General features: G+C 36.3%; 1 long non-coding RNA gene across 2 annotated transcripts in view, besides 1 other annotated feature; it reads right to left on the bottom strand.

Moving 5' to 3' along the window:
- The window catches only part of LINC00871 (long intergenic non-protein coding RNA 871), a 437,745-nt gene that overhangs the window by 121,774 nt on the left and 298,371 nt on the right, over window positions 1-17,600 (bottom strand). The window lies entirely within an intron of this gene.
- Window positions 2,242-2,742: an enhancer, noted in NCBI's record as "H3K4me1 hESC enhancer chr14:46846591-46847091 (GRCh37/hg19 assembly coordinates)". NCBI's record gives its function as "activates a minimal SCP1, AML or CMV promoter by ChIP-STARR-seq in naive H9 embryonic stem cells {active_cell/tissue: H9 hESC(naive)}" and the evidence as "EXISTENCE:reporter gene assay evidence [ECO:0000049][PMID:30033119]".

Raw genomic sequence — 17,600 nt, 5'->3', positions numbered from 1 at the left:
CTAATAATAAAATTTAGAAAAAATATTTATGAGACATCTACACTCAGATCTGTAAAACATTGCTAAGAGAAATTAAAGAATACCTATATGAGGAGATATACCATGTTAATGAAGGAAAAACTCAATATTTTTTAAACACTGATTCTCTTCAAATAGATCTACAAATGCAAAGCAATTACCCCCAAATTCTAACAAGATTTTTGGAAATACTTGATAAGCTTATTATAACATTTATATTGAGATGGAAAAAAAACCTAGAAAGTCCAAAGCAATTTTACAAAATAAAAACCAAGCTTGATAATTTACATTAACCTTCAAAACCACAATATAAAGCTACAATAATAAAGGCTGTGTGGTATTAGCATAACAAAGGATATATGAGTCAGTTGAACAATGTAGAGTCCAGAAATCGTTGTATAAATATATGGTCAAAGATTTTGAATCAAGATTTTTAAAGCAAGTTTTTAAAAAAAAAACTGATGGAAGTAGGTATCTGTGAAGTAATGAACATCAACCCTTAACCTGACAGCCTACAGAATTTACTCAAAAAGGGGAATATAACTAAATATAAAAGTAAAAAATATAAAACTTCTAAAAGACAACTAAAGATAAAATCTTTACAGCCTGGAAGCAGGCAAAGGCTTTTTTAGATAGGACCTGTAAAATAAAATGTTGAAAAAATTGGCCTTTATTAAAATGTAATATATTTCTCTTGAAAATAAAACATTAAGAAAGTGAAAAGGTGGCCAGATAATGGGAGAAAACATTAATATCTTACCTCACCAAGGACTTTAATCTAATTTGTATAAACTCTTACACTGGCCAAATAATTTGAACAGCAAAAGAGGAGAAGTAGAAAAGAAAGGAGAAAGAGAGGATCAAGGAGAGGAGGAAGAGGAAAGAGAAAGAGGAAAAAGAAAGGAAAAACACACATAGTAGTAATTAAGCAAATGAAAAGTCATCAGAGAAATGCAACTTTAAACTATAATATGACACCATTATAGAGATATTAGAATAGCTTAAGAAAACTACAAATATGACATGGTGTCAAGGGTGTAAAACAATTGGCACTCTCATATATTACTGTAACATGGTACAGCACTTTGGAAAAGTTTGGCAGTTTCTTTAAAAATTAACCATGTACCTACCATAGGACACAGTCATTCCATTCCTAAGTCTTTGCCCAAAAAAAATAAAGTTATACGTTCACATAAAGTGTGTGACAGACACAGATATTTATAGAAGCTTTATTTGTAATATAAAAACCTGGTAAAAATTCAAATATTGAAGAACAAGTAAATAGATAGATACAATGTGTAGGATTTCCACAGTGAAACTCATAGCAATAAAAAAGAAAAAATGACTCATAAACTCTTCAATATAGATAAATTTCAAAATTATGCTGAGTGATAGAAGCTAGACACAAAAGGGTACATACTCATTTATTGAAAATGTTAAAAAGTGCAAAGTAGCTTATAGTGATAAAAAGCAAATCAATGGTTCCATGTGGTCATGTGCAGAGGAGCACATGGATTGCAAAAGTGTGTGTGGTAGTCAGCCTCCAACTTTGCCTACAAAAATTCCTGTTTCAGGTATTTACACTTTTGTGTAATCCCGTCTCACGTTTTTCAGGGTTATGACTCACAGGGCGTAGCAGAAGTGATGCTATGTCATTTCCTAGATTCTCTCACTTGGATCACTCACTCTACTGGTAGTCAGCCGCTATGCCATGGGGAAACTCAGGCAACCTATTGGGCCTATAATGATGGCTACAAGGATCTGAGCCCATCTGCCAACAGCGATGTAGCTGACCCACTTTGGACAAAGGTCATTCAGCACCACTCAACTTTCAGATGACTGCAGCCTAGGCAATATCTTGATAGCAACTTCATGAGAGATATCGAACTAAGGTAATCCTAAAATCCTCACCCACAGAAAACATGAAATAGTAAGTATTTGTTGTTTAAAGCCACTAATTTTGGGGGTGATTTGTTACACAGCAATAGAGAAGTAATACAGATTTTAGTAACAAAATCGGATGCTACCATATCAAAAACTTAAAACGAAGAAATTGCTTTGAAACAGGGCAGTGGACTTTGATGATAATATTAGCAAACACTTAATGAACCTTGAACAAATTATTCATAAAATTTGGACTTTGAGGTGACTATCAGTAAAGACTTAAAGGGAAGTGAAGAAAATCTTATTGGAAACTAGAGGTAAGGTATAATTACTAAATAGTGGCAGAAAGTTTAGCAGGACTGTCATTTATAATAATGTACAAGGTAGAAAGTATATATAACCATGTGATCTAGCTTAAGGTGATTATAAAGCTATTAAAATCTATGGGCTATTTTGTCCTTTAATGGATTTCTTACCAATATATAAGTTTAAATTAATAAATCCCTGAAATGTTCTTGGGATCCTCTTGGTTCCACAATCATCAAACGAAAATACTTTTTCACTGACAACACATTTTTTAAATGGTTGTAGGTATGTTATAGAAAATCCATTGAAGGAGCACTGGTGGCAGCCTAATGTCTAAGCTGTTTGAGCTCCTTGGGGGAGGAGCAGCAGCCAGCACTGTGAATCACAACAGCCTAACTCGCCTAGCTCCCTGGGTGGAGGAAGGGCAGCACCCATTTCTATAGCTCCAGGCTGTTTTTCCCCTACTGAAGCCAGGAAGGCTGGACGGCTTGGTCCCAAGACTTGTCCCTACAGCCCAACACACCAGCTGTGGCAATCTGTGGCCAGAGTGCCTCATCAGGCCTAACTCTGACCCATCCTTCCTCCATGGGCAGGGCTTCCCCACAGGAACTCCAATAACTCCAGCTAGAGGCTCAGGGACAGAATTTGGATCTCCCTGGGGCTGAGCCCCTAGGGGAAGGGGTGGCCACAGTCTCTGCAGACCAGCACACTTAGCCTCTCCTCCTGGTAGTTCTGAGGAATCTGGGCAGCCCAGGTGAGTGGGTTTCCCCTGAGTGAAACACACCCTCTCCACCAAGGGACAAAGTGTGATTCATTAAACGGGTCCTGCTCCCTGTGCCACCAAACTGGGTGAGACCCTCTAACAGGGGTTGTCAGACAGCCTATACAGGAGCAATCCTACTGGCATCAGGTTGGTGCCCCTTGAGGTCAGAGGTCCCAGAAGAAGAAGTAGGCACCCATCTTTGCTACTCTCTAGCCTCCTTGAGTGACATCTCCAGGCACAAGAGTGAATCAGTTGAATAGGGCCTGAAGTGAACCCCCAGCAAACTGCAAGCCTACAGAAGTGGGACCTGACTATTGAAAGAAAAACAAACAAGCAGAAAGCAACAACGACTGTATCAACAACAACAACAAAAAGGCCCCCACAAAACCCCATTAAAGGATAAGCAGGCTCAAAGACTGAAACTAGACAAATTCATGAAGATGAGAAAGAATCAATGAAAAAGTGTTGAAAACCCAAAAGGCCAGAGTGCTTCTTCTCTAAATGATCGCAACGTCTCTCCATCAAGGGTGCAGAACTGGATGGAGGATCAGATGTGCCAAATGACAGAAGCAGCCTTCAGAAGATGGGTAATAAAAAACTATGATGAGCTATGGAGCATGTTCTAACCCAATGCAAAGAAGCTAAGAGCCGTGATAAAAGGTTAGAAGAATTGCTAACTAGAATTACCAGTTTAGAGAGGAAAATAAATGACCTGATGGAGCTTAAAAACACAGCATGAGAACTTGGTTAAACATACACAAGTATCAACAGCCAGATAGACCAAGCAGAAGAAAGGATATCAGAGTTTGAAGGCCACCTTACTGAAATTAGAGGTGCAGATGAGAATAGAGAAAAAAGAGTGTAAAGTAATGAACAAAGGCACAAAGAAATATGGGACCTAATAAAAAGACCAAACCTACAATTGATTGGAGTACCAGAAGGAGACAGGGAGAATGGAAACAAGCTGGAAGACACACTTCAGAATATTATCCAGGAGAACTTCCCCTATCTAGCAAGACAGGCCAACATGCAAATTCAGGAGATACAGAGAACACCATTAAGATACTCCAAGAGAAGATCAACCCCCAAGACACATAATCATCGAGTTCTCCAAAGTCGAAATGAAGGAAAAACTGTTAAGGGCAGCCAGAGAGAGAGGGCAGGTCACCTACAAAGGGAAGCCCATCAGACAAACAGTGGATCTCTCTGCAGAAACTCTACAAGCCAGAAGAGAGTGGGGGCCAATATTCAACATTCTTAAAGAAAAGAATTTTTAATCCAGAATTTCATATCTGGCCAAACTAAGCTCTATGAGTGAAGGAGAAACAAAATCCTTTCCAGACAAGCAAATGCTGATGGATTTTGTTACCACCAGGTCTGACCTGCAAGAGCTCCTGAAAGCAGCACTACATATGGAAAGGAAAAACTGACACCAACCACTGCAAAAACACAACAAAATATAAAGACCAATGACACTACAAAGAAACTGCATCAACTGGTGTGCAAAATAACCAAATAGTATCATGATGACAGGATCAAATTCACACATAACAATACTAACCTTAAATGTAAATGGGCTAAATGCCTCAATTAAAAGACACAGACTGGCAAATTGGATCAGGAATCAAGACCCATCAGTGTGCTCTATTCAGGAGACCCATCTTAAGTGCAAAGACACACACAGGCTCAAAATAAAGGGACGGAGGAAAATTTACGAAGCAAATGGAAAGCAAAAAAAAAAAAAAAAAAGCAGGGGGTTGCAATCCTAGTCTCTGACAAAACAGACCTTAAGCCAACAAAGATCAAAAAAGACAAAGAAGGGCATTACACAATGGTAAAGGGAACAATTCAACGAGAAGAGCTAACTATTCTAAATATATATGCAACCAGTAAAGGACCACCTGGATTCATAAAACAAGTTCTTAGAAACCTACAAAGAGACTTAGACTCCCACACACAATAACAGTGGCAGACTTTAACACCCCACTGTCAGTATTAGACAGATCAATGAGACAGAAAATTAACAAGGATATTCAGGACTTGAACTCAGCTCTGGATCAAGTGGGCCCAGTAGATGTTTACAGAACTCTTTACCCCAGAACAACAGAATATACACTCTTCTCAGTGCCATGTGGCACTTATTTTAAAATCAACCACATAATTGGAAGTAAAACACTTCTCAGCAAATGCAAAAGAATAGAAATCATAACAGTCTCTCAGACTGCAGTGCAATCAAATTAGAACTAAGGATTTAGAAACTCACACAAGACCACACAATTTCATGGAAATTGAACAACCTGCTTCTGAATGACTCCTGAGAAAATAATAAAATTAAGGCAGAAATCAAGAAGTTCTTTGAAACCAATGAGCACAAAGAGGTAATGTACCAGAATCTCTGGGACACAGCTAAAACTATATGAAGAGGGAAATTTATAGCACTAAATGTCCACATCAGAAAGCTACAAAGCTCTCAAATTAACACCCTAACATCACGATTAAAAGAGCTAGAAAGGCAAGAGCAAACTAATTCAAAAGCTAGCAGAAGACAAGAAATAACTAAGATCAGAGAAGAATTGTAGGAGATAGAGTTATGAAAAACTCTCCAAAAAATCAATGAGTACAGGAGCTACTATTTGAAAAAATTAACAAAATAGATAGACCACTAGATAGACTAATAAAGAAAGGGAGAGAGAAGAATCAAACAGACACAATAAAAAATGATAAAGGAAATACCACCACTGACCCCACAGAAATACAAACTATCATCAGAGAACACTATAAATACCTATATGCAAATAAACTATAAAACCTAGAAGAAATGGGTAAATTTCTGAATGCATATGCCCTCCCAAGATTAAACCAGGAAGAAGCTGAATTCCTCAATAGAACAATAACATGTTCTGAAATTGAGCCAGTAATTAGTAGCCTACCAACCAAAAAAGCCCAGGACTAGATGGATTCACAGCTGAATTCTACCAGACATACAAAGAGGATATGGTACCATTAGCTCTGAAACTATTCCAAACAACTGAAAAGGAGGGACTTTTCCCTAACTCATTTTATGAGGCCAGCATCATCCTGATACCAAAACCTGGCAGAGACACAGCAAAAAAAGAAAATTTCAGGCCAGTATCCCTGATAAACATTGATGTGAAAATCCTCAATAAAATACCACAAACCAAATCTAGCAGCACATCAAAAAATTTATCTCCCACAATCAAATCAGCTTCATCTCTGGGATGCAAGGCTGGTTCAATATATGCAAATCAGTAAACATAATCCATCACCATAAACAGAACCAATGACAAAAACCACATGATTATCTCAATAGATGCAGAAAAGGCCTTTCATAAAATTCAACATCGCTTCATGTTAAAAACTCTCAATAAACTAGGTATTGATGGAACATATCTCAAAATAATAAGAGCTATTTATGACAAATCCACAGTCAATATCATATCAAATGGGCAAAAGCTGGAAGCGTTCCCTTTGAAAACCAGTACAAGACAAGGAGGCCGTCTATCAGCACTCCTATTCAACATAGTATTGGAAGTTCTGGCCAGGGCAATCAGGCAAGAGAAAGAAATAAAGCATATTCAAATAGGAAGAAAGGAAGTCAAATTGTCTCTGTTTGCAGATGACATGATTTTATATTTATAAAACCCCATTGTCTCAGCCCCAAAACTCCTTAAGCTGATCAGCAACTTCAGCAAAGTCTCAGGATACAAAATCAATGTGCAAAAATCATAAGCATTCCTTTACACCAACAATAGGCAAGCAGGGAGCCAAATCCTGAATGAACTCCCATTCATAATTGCTACAAATAGAATAAAATACCTAGGAATACAGCTAACAAGGGATGTGAAGGACCTCTTCAAGGAGAACTACAAACCACTGTTCAAGGAAATAAGAGACAACACAAACAAATGGAAAACATTCCACCCTCAGAGATAGGAAGAATCAATATTGTGAAAATGGCCATACTGCCCAAAGTAATTATAGAGTCAATGCTATTCCCATCAAATTACCATTGACATTTTTCACAGAATTAGAGAAAACAATTTAAAATTATTTTTGGAATCAAAGAAGACCCTGTATAGCCAAGACAATCCTAAGCAAAAATAACAAAGCTGGAGGCATCAGGCTACCTGACTTTAAACTATACTACAAGGCTACAGTAACCAAAACAGCATGGCACTGGTACCAAAACAGACATGTAGACCAATGGAGAAGAACAGAGACCTCAGAAGTAACACCACACATTTACAATCATTTGGTCTTTGTCAAACTTGACAAAAACAAGCCATGTGGAAATGATCTCCTCTTTAGTAAATGGTGCTGGGAAAACTGGCTAACCATATGCAGAAAACTGAAACTGGACCCCTTCCTTACACTTTATACAAAAATTAACTCAAAATGGATTAACAACTTAAATGTAAAACCCAAAACCATAAAAAACCTGGAAGAAAACCTAGGCAATACCATTCAGGACACAGGCATGGGCAAAGACTTCATGACTAAAACACCAGAAGAATAGAAACAAAAGCCAAAATTGAAAACTGGAATCTAATTAAACTAAAGAGCTAATGCACAGCAAAAAACAAACAAACAAACAAAAAAACAAAAAACTATCATCCAAGTGAACAGGCAACCTACAGAATGGGAGAAAATTTTTGCAATCTACTCATCTGACAAAGGTCTAATAACCAGGATTTATAAGAAACTCAAACATATTTACAAGAAAAAAAAACCCATCAAAAAGTGGGAAAAGGATATGCATAGACACTTCTCAAAAGAAGACATGTATGTGGCCAACAAACATATAAAAAAAGCTCAACATCACTGATCATCAGAGAAATGCAAATCAAAACTACAATGAGATACCATCTCATGCCAGTCAGAATGACCATTATTAAAAAGTCAGGAAACAATAGATGCTGGCAAGACTATAGAGAAATAGGAATGCTTTTACACTGTTGGTGGGAATGTAAATTAGGTCAGCCATTGTGGAATACAATATGGACCATTCCTCAAGGATCTAGAACCAGAAATACCATTTGACCCAGCAATCCCATTACTGGGTATATACCCAAAGAAATAGAAATCATTCTACTATAAAGACACATCACACATATGTTTTTTGCGCACTACTTACAATAGCAAAGACCAACCCGAATGCTCATTAATGATAATAAAGAAAATTTGGTAGATATTCACCATGGAATACTCTGCAGCCATAAAAAGGAATGAGATCATGTCTTCTGCGGCGACATGGATGAAGCTGGAAGCCATCATCCTCAGCAAATTAACACAGGAACAGAAAACCAAACACTGCATGTTCTCACTCATAAGTGGGAGTTGAACAATGAGAATGCATGGACACAGAGAGGGCAACGACACACACCAGGGCCTGTTGGGGGGTAGGGGGTGATAGGAGGGAACTTAGTGGACGAGTCAATAGCTGCAAAAAACCACGATGGCATGTGTATATCTATGTAACAAACCTGCACGTTCTGTACATGTATCCCATTTTTTTCTTTTTAGAAGAAATAAATAAAATAGAAAATCAATTGAAGCCTTCAAAATACCAGTATTTAAATATTAAATATCCCATAAAAACATAACAGATTTTGATTACAAAAACAACTCAATACTTACTCTAGACATGATTTATTGAAAAATAATCAGAGACAAATTAAAGACACTGAACTTGTCACTATTTTCATCTTGATATATGAAAAGAACCATGCAGTAACCCTACATAATAAAACTGAGCTGTAACTTTGTAGAAAAGAAAAACCCAATGAAAAAGTAAAGAGGACAATAAGCACATTTTATTTCTGACCTGATTTATTTCAAAGAAATGAAACAATTAAAAAGGTAAATCACAAAATAAATATCTCATGTTTAATATTTTTACATTTATGCAGTTGTATATTTTAATTGAAAACAAACGTGAAGACTCTAATATTGTCATATTTATTTTGGTTCCTAGTGAAAAGACAGGCTATTAGCCTTACTTAGAAAAAGGGACGTTATAGAATCATTTTCTTGAACCAAGATGTCAAAGTGATTTGACGAAAGATAAATGTTTTTCATTACATTTTAATTACCACATTGAATTTGAATGGAAAGATATTCATAAACGCTTGTATCACTTTTTATTTTTAACTATGCAGGAATGAGAAGTCACTAAGGTTGACTTGTAAATAACTATAGAACCATATCATACAAGGAATAATTTGAAGAAAGGCAAGAGTCAAGTTGTTATCAGTTAAAATATATTTAGGTTTTCTATCATCTACAGTTATACTAGAATTAAGAGTCATGACCACTCATAGGTATTATGGAAGGAAAATAGCCTATCATTGTACTTGCCATGTGCTTTGCATATATTGAAGGTGTCATATTTATAATCATAGAGGGGTCTGATATTCCACATACTGAAATTTAGTATCAAAGTAAATCTAGAGATTATTTCAGATAGATAACTTTACATTTACTACTCTTCTTCCAGTATTCTTAAGACAAGAATGGTTATATGTGGCTGGTCTTCTGCATAAATGATTTCTTTCTCCCCCAGGATTCTCCACTAATTGAGGAACGGAAGAGAATTCTAAGCAGAATTCTAACAATTTTGCTATCAAGGCACACGTTCTTCTCAAGTAAAGTTTCGTAACCTTCACAACATTAACATTTAGGGCTTGATAATTTTTGTTTTGAGGGACTGTCCTGTCCATCACAGAATGTTTAGCAGCATTTCTAACCTCTACCTACTAGCTGCACCTTCCCCCAAGTTATGACAATCTAGAATGTCTCCAGACTTTTTCTAATGTAGATAATTGTACTCCCCTCCCCTTGAGAATCATTGCACTAAAGTTAAAAAAAGAAAAGAGAGAGAGAGAGAGAGAGAGAGACATTATGGATTAGGAAATGTTTCTGCTTTCCCAATTATCAACAAAATACAGGTCACTGAGGGTTTCGTAGTTGATTGCTAAAGAGTTCCTTAAAATCAAATTCCGAGTATCAGTTGGAAGAAAATTTTTTGCACAGAGAAATAACATCTATACTTTCCTTTTGTAACTTTTTTGCTATGAGGACTAGTATTAAGATAGGAAGAATTTGCTGAGAGTGGATAGTTGTGATAATTCAATGAATAAGCCTTGGGAAACTGAATTTGGATTGGGCCATGACTTGTCCTGAATCACATGGAAAGGGGCTTATGATTTAGAGACAATAAAGTCCTTTAATGATTTTCTTTGCTAACAGGCTGGTTTACTCCTATATCCTTGCTAGTTACTAAGATATTCCCCAGAGTAATCCAGGACACTTTGTTGGTAGCATATATGACTCTCATCATGCTATTAGGATTGCCAGGACCTTTCCTCCTTCTTTCTTACTGTTACAAGATTCTTGCTAGTTACTAAGATATTCCCCCAGAGTAATGCAGGACACTGTTGGTAGCATGTCACTCTCATCATGCTATTAGGACTGACAGGACCTTTCTTCCCTCTTCTTTGCTGTTTCTATATCAGTGTTGGATAACACTAATCAATAATGGCACTCTTTCCCCCTGATCCCTTCACTGCCTCAGAATCCTCACCAGAGCTCTCTGAGAAATGTATGTCTTAGTAATTTCATGTCCAAAAGATAAGAATGGGTGGCAAACATTTGCATTGTTCTTTAAAAATAGAAAATGTTCAAAATTATTTTTTATTTGAGTTTCCATACAGCTTTTTGATATATAAACAGAAAATCTTACATTAGTTATGAGTGCAGTTAAGGGAGGTTGTTCAAGTTCTTGCGACTAGGAAGTTACAAAGACAGCCTACAGTATCTTTACTGTGGAAAAGAACTTCTCTACTTCCACCCCCAGAAAAAGATCCAATTTAAGGCAGACTAAAACTGTGACATATTCTGTATTTTTTATTTATGATATTAACTATATCTTAGATATTTTACTAATCTGTTTAATGATTGGATGTTTGTCTTGAAACAGCCCTAAGGGCAAGGTTCTTGTCCAAATAAAAAATATTTATAAATTTTGCCATATAACAAAGACATTTAAGAGGATTTCAGTGAATCGCAAATACATTCTCTTTCTGTTTTAACCAAATCAGACATTTTTATATAGTAGGAATCTCAACTTGAAACCAAGCAGTCATTAGCTTAGGTCATCATTGTCTTGTGCTTAAGAAACTGATAATGTCAGAGCTCTAGGATGGGTATGACTGCCTGGGGTCTAATTGGATTAAGGTCAAAGGAAAGAAAACAAACAACCACCAAATCTGGCTTAGAACAGTGTCTGAGAGACAGAAGGGAGACAGGATTCTGAGAATAACATGGTATGTCCCTCAAGTTATTGTAACATCTGGCACAGCCTCCACAGGTTTATGTCTGAATCATTCAGAGACACTGACTATAAGCAAAAACTAAAAGAGCTAATTGATTTAAAAATGCACATTATGACGATAATGAAAACAAGCCCAATAATCAAAGAAAATCTTGTGAGATGCTGAGAGCCTAAGCAGCTCTGCCTGTGAACTTAGGCAACAGAGTTACCTTCCCCAAGGAAGGGGTGAGGGGTTTTCTCCTATTCTCCATGCTTTGGCCCACATAGAGGGCTACAGAACATGGTGGTGACTCATTAGACATGCACAACTGTGACTTGGCACAGACCAGTTTGTGCCTGCAGTGCTGGTAGTCAGTGACTTGGCAGGAGCGGCGACAGAAGCCTCTGTACAGATAGGAGTTGCAGAGCTGCTTGAAGGACAACACAATTCAGGAGCCCCAACACCACAGAAGGAAAATAACTCATGTCACAGGGCAGCCAGAAGAATGTGTTCATTTCTATGTGCAACATGACCGAAAGACCACTTTTCTTCTAATGTGGATTCGGAAACCTAGACTGGGCATTACTGACTTGGTTTAATTTTTCCTTATATTACCATAACATCCTGAGAAAACATATGCAACTATTTAACACCTTTGATTGAGTTGACCAAAGAAGCCTAGTGAAAATCACATTAAAAGAGAATGGTGCTAGTGGTTTTATTTAACTCATTGATCCCCAGTCCAAATGTTCACTCTAGTTATATATCTTTTCTTAAGCTCCAGATTAAAGAGAAATAGTATATCTCAGTTGCTTTTCATTTACTAATTCATATTATTAATTGAAAACCTATTATCTGCCCTTCCTAGGTATTGAGAATAGAGTGGTAACGAGAGAAATGGTGCTTGTTCTCATAAGAGGCACATCCTTGTGGGAACCAAGTAAATAAGTAAATGAATTATATAATTTCAGGTAAGGGCAAGCACAAAGCAAAAATAAAATCAGGTGACATATGAGTGACTGTGAGGTGGGGGTCTGCTTTACATTGGCTTTGGGTTGGGGGCGTATTTCAATTGGACCTAAATAATGAGACAGAGCCAGACAAAAAAACTCTGGGGGAGACATTCTGGGAAAAGAGGTGTCCAGTGCAACGGTTGAATGAGGGGAAAAATTTGGCATGTTCAAGGAAGAAAAGAGAAGTCAGCATGACTAGAACTTAGTGAGACAGAGAAAGGAAGAGGTGAGGTTGAAGAGAGTCAGAGACAAATTCTATTTGGCTTTAGAGTCCGTGATAAAAACATAGATCTCATTCTAAGTGTGATGAGAAAGGCATGAAAGTATGAAGCAGGGGAATGTTTGATGTTATTAGCTGTGTGGAGGCTAGTTTTAGGGAGTCTGTGTAGTACTTCAGTTAAAAATTAAAAAGAAAACAGAACTTTCTCTCTAGAATCCAACACTTAGGACTGCAAAATTTACACTATTTTTTCTTCTTATGAAGATGATTACATTTGTTCATTAATGTCAAGAGTTTAATGACAATATTACTGACTTAACAGTAATATGTGGAAAAGAAAATCACTGTTAAGACTATAATGTCTGATTTTAATATTAGTGTCATTTATAACAAAGTTATGATGCTACACTGTATAAAATTCAGTCATAACCAGAGTATTTGTAAAAATTTTTAAAGTAATTATTGTGCCATTTTTAAGGTCAATAAGACAATTGCCTTTTTGAATTGAAGATACACATCAAATCAGCCATTTATCATTTTATTAACAATTATTAACAGGAGAAAGCCAATTTTGCCTTCAGTAAATACCTATTTTTAATAAATTCAAGTGAAGACAATTAAGGTTTCAATTGGTGTGTCTTTATAAATAATTAGGTTCCCTATATTTTAGACACTTGAACAACTTAATTCATCAATTACTGAATACTCAAATCTATTATTGCAACATGAAGTAAATAGACCATTAGTTGATGGGTTTGAAAAATCCTAGTTTTACTTTTTTTTTTTTTTTAACAAATGTAGACACTTGGATGACCATTTGTAATATAGAGAATATTTCAGTTTCATTCTCTATCCTAGTAGAAACAAGCATAGTTCCTTGTTCATAGCTGTAGTTTGAGAAATCTGTGGTTATTATTCTAAGCAAATCATTAGATGTTAATTTTCTTTTCTATAGACAGAATAAAGACATAAATTTTACTCTTTAGGTGATAGCACAATTTCTGGAGAGCCATTTTTATTAGAGTAAAATTCTAGAATTAAAAAAAAATTGTTAAAGGGCTAGTATTGGCTGGGTGCAGTGGCTCTCACCTGTAATCCCAGCACTTTGGGAGGCCGAGGTGGGCGGATCACGAGGTCAGGAGATCAAGACCATCCTGGCTAACATGGTGAAACCCCGTCTCTACTAAAAAATACAAAAAATTAGCCAGGCGTGGTGGCGGGCACCTGTAGTCCCAGCTACTTGGGAGGCTGAGGCAGGAGAATGGCATGAACCCAGGAGGCAGAGCTTGCAGTGAGCCAAAATCACACCACTGCACTCCAGCCTGGTCGACAGAGTGAGACTCTGTCTCAAAAAAAAAGTTTTTTTTAAAAAGGTTAGTATGGCTTCTTACTCTTTCAAATATAGAAAAACAATTCCATAAACTTTGCTAATATTTCCTTGAATTGTTTTTATATTTGAATAATAGTCTTTTGAGATATCCTGAGGCCAAAAAAGTATTATGAAAATAAAATGAATGTTATACACTATAACGATTTTACAAAATATTTTAAAGTAAAATCATATGATCCAGAAGCCATTTAAGTCAACTTCCTGCCTTCAAGTACAATAAACTATTTTAAAAACTGAACTTGAGTGTTTGTCATATCGAAGTATTATTTCATGATATATAAGCCACAAATAGAGAAATATCTGAGCTAGGATAAAAAGATGTATTTTGATGTCTAGTATCTCAAACAATACAAAGAATCACACATTATTATACCCATTTTATAGATAAGAAAAATAAGCCTCAAAAGAACTAAAACACAGATTGAGAAGCTCAGGTTGATTTAGTCCTAAAACTTTTATGATGTTTCCTTTCCCTGTGTTACTTGCATAGTTATTTATTAAAATAAATTCTCATCTATATTTAAAGAACATTGACATTTTGTTTCATATTTTAAATGTTTCATTGTAAAAGTTATGCACTAAAGTTACACATCACATAGGCTAGATACATGGGAAATGTACTACTTAATTAGCTGGTATACTTTTTCGATAGGCCTCTGCCTATAGAATTTAAGTTGCATAAAACTGTGATATTCAGACATTATTAATGTTCCTTTAGAAACAGTAAAATAAAAAACCAATAATTTTACTGCAGCTTGCTATTGAACTTGTATCAGACATTTAAAAAATGAATCAGTCCATTCAAGCACATATCATGTTAATTTTATAATTGAGTTTTAAGTAGGTCATCCAAAACGATATAGAAAAAATATATGCATATCCAAACTAGGGGAAACAATGAGGATCCAGAACACCATCATTCAATTCACATTTAGATCTTTTCAAATCACATTTAATGTGTTTTTTCAGGCAAATTCCCTTCATGAATCCTCTGCTCCAGTGAAATTATATGCTTTGAACTCGTCTTGTGTCTGCCTCTTTGTGTCTACCTTGCTGAACAGATGCCTCTCCTCTCTCCTTTGCCCAACTAAATCCTGTCTGCCCTTTAGATACGAATAAGTAATTACTGCCCTAACTATGATGTATTTTGTCATAAGCTCTTTCCCCTCTATAATCCAATAGCATTTAAAATTATGTCAATTCTTATATGCATTTTGAATATTTAGTGTATTTTAATGTTACAAAATGAAAGTTTGCATAAATATAATTTTTATAGATATATAACCTATACTTTTCCATATTTTCTTTCTATTTCAACTACAACCACAATCACTAAATATTTCTCTAAATATACAAGTTTCTAAGTATCTGTCTTATTTATTCTTTATATTCCTACATATTTTCTTAATTTCACTGAATATAAGAATTTTTGTTTGTTTTCTTCACAAATGTCTCCCCAGTGACTAAACAGTGTCAGGTGCATATCTTGGGCTCATGTAATATTTGTTGTGTCTCTATTCGGAGACTCTGTTAGGCCAAAAGGCAGAAGATAAAATCTTAGTCAATTCTAAGTAAACCCAGCAATTTGAAGCTTAACCCTCACTAATTCAGAATTCGCAGCAATTCTCTCATTCTTTTCCCCCAATTTGTTGGGCCTCATGTAGAGAAAATGGTGTTGGAAGAGGTCATCTATTTGTAATTACTAATCATTGTCCTCTTATTGATCACTCTCAATGGCATCTGCCCAGACGTTCAGTCTGTCTCCATGATCCTTTGAGATGATCTCCAGGGTTGGTCTGAGCACTCTGTACCTACTCATCTTTACTCATGGTATCTTTAAGTTTCCCAGCCTTCTCACAGTCACTCAAGTGCCTACTTCTGGGGCTTATGAAGATTCAGCCACATGACCCTTATCTCATAGGTGACAGTACCTAAGAATTACATATACTTCCTCTACTGTTCACTTCCTATATTTTCTAATGTTTCTGCCTCTCCAGCTTGTAGAATCATCTCTCCGCCTCTACCAACTTTCACTTATAGTTTAGGAACCAGTCTGTAGGAAGAACCAAAACGAATAGCTTCTATATCAGTGTTCTTCATCACACCATTAAGTAGGCTTCCCTACACCCTGATGCCATTTGTACCCATAACTTGAACTGGTAGGGACGGAAAATGAAACACTTGCATGGATGTGAAGGTCTGCTGAGTCAATTGACACTTTTTCCTTAACTGTTTTATCCTAATAGGTGAATTACCATAGGCCCAATGTCATTAACTCAAGAGAGAGGATGTCACTGTTTTTTATTAAAAGTTATAGATAGAATATAATAATCCATCTTAATCTAATGGTTGTAAAGAAAAACAGGCAAACAGAGAAACAAATAAACAAAAAAAAAAAAAGCAGAATTGAGAATATGGCCTGGTTAGCATCCTACAAACTTACCAAAGAAGATACTGAGTAAATCACACACCTTTAACCTTAGATTCAACCACTGAAACACAACTAAGTCTCCTTCATTCCCACCATGCCTGAGATCTGGTGCCCTTGTGCTAAACCCAGAGAAAACTTATACTACTTAATTTTAAAATTTATCATGCTCAGCATGTTCTAATTCTCTAATCCCTTTTTAAGGAAACTAGTTTCCTATTACAATAGGAACACAATGAAAAATGCTTCCTATTTATTGGATTCTTAGTGTATGTCAGAGTTTTTTTTTTTTAAAGTTCTAAGTGCTTTAAAAAGAGCAGTTATTTGTGCTCACAGCAACTTTATCAGGCCATCCTTATCATTCCCATTTTACACATGATAGATCCAGGTATTGAACAAATGAGTGAGTGGTTCAATGTTTTGCCCAGGATCATAGAGCTAGTACGTGGAAGACAAAGCCTCCTGACACCTAAATCTATACCTCTAACTTTTAAGCCAAACAGCTTCGAACAAAAGATTCTTATCCAGTGACTTTTTGAGGTTCCTCTGCTCCATGAACCATTATGTCCCATGCAGTTCCATCATATTTACTGGGCCCTGATTTTAAGGAAACATCTTGTGAAACAACTCAAAAGGTCCCTGACTATTTAATGACCACAGTGCATCCAGTATTTAAGTACCAATCAGAATTAAAGTGGATACAATTACACCTTCTCAGACAAGGTATTTCTCCAGAGACACTCTCAATAGTACCTCAGAAAATTTCACTAGCTCCTATTCTGCAGTGGTTTCTTCCTATGGTGGCTTCATACTCTGCCAACTTAACCAAGTTGGAACTGTTTCCCAGAATCCCTTTTTCCCATAGTTCTTGGGTAGGAGTGGCCACATTAGATTATTCCATGAGTTTTTGGAAGGAAAACGTAAAGCCACATTTATTCTCGGAAGATTAATGTAGGGTCAGAACACGTTGCAATTCGTATACATTTTCTTGGGCCTCATAGCCTGCCTTGCTGGCCTGAAGCAGCAGCAGATCAGCAGCTCTTTCAACTCTTGTCTGTTTTTCAGCTTCCCTGACTCCTAGGACATTGTGTATTTAACAACAAAATGAAGGGTGCCTGCTTCTCCTGCAAGTCAATCTCATCACTAAAATGAGTGGCCAACAGAGATTCCCGCTCATACAGGCTCTGCTTAATTCTGACTCTCCCCTGCTTCACGTCTATCTTTTCTTTCGAAGTGACTGCCCTG

Source organism: Homo sapiens, chromosome 14, assembly GCF_000001405.40.
Source record: "Homo sapiens chromosome 14, GRCh38.p14 Primary Assembly".
Classification (NCBI taxonomy): domain Eukaryota; kingdom Metazoa; phylum Chordata; class Mammalia; order Primates; family Hominidae; genus Homo; species Homo sapiens.
The sequence above is the reverse complement of the archived record's forward strand: the minus strand, read 5'-3'. Positions and strand labels throughout refer to the sequence as shown.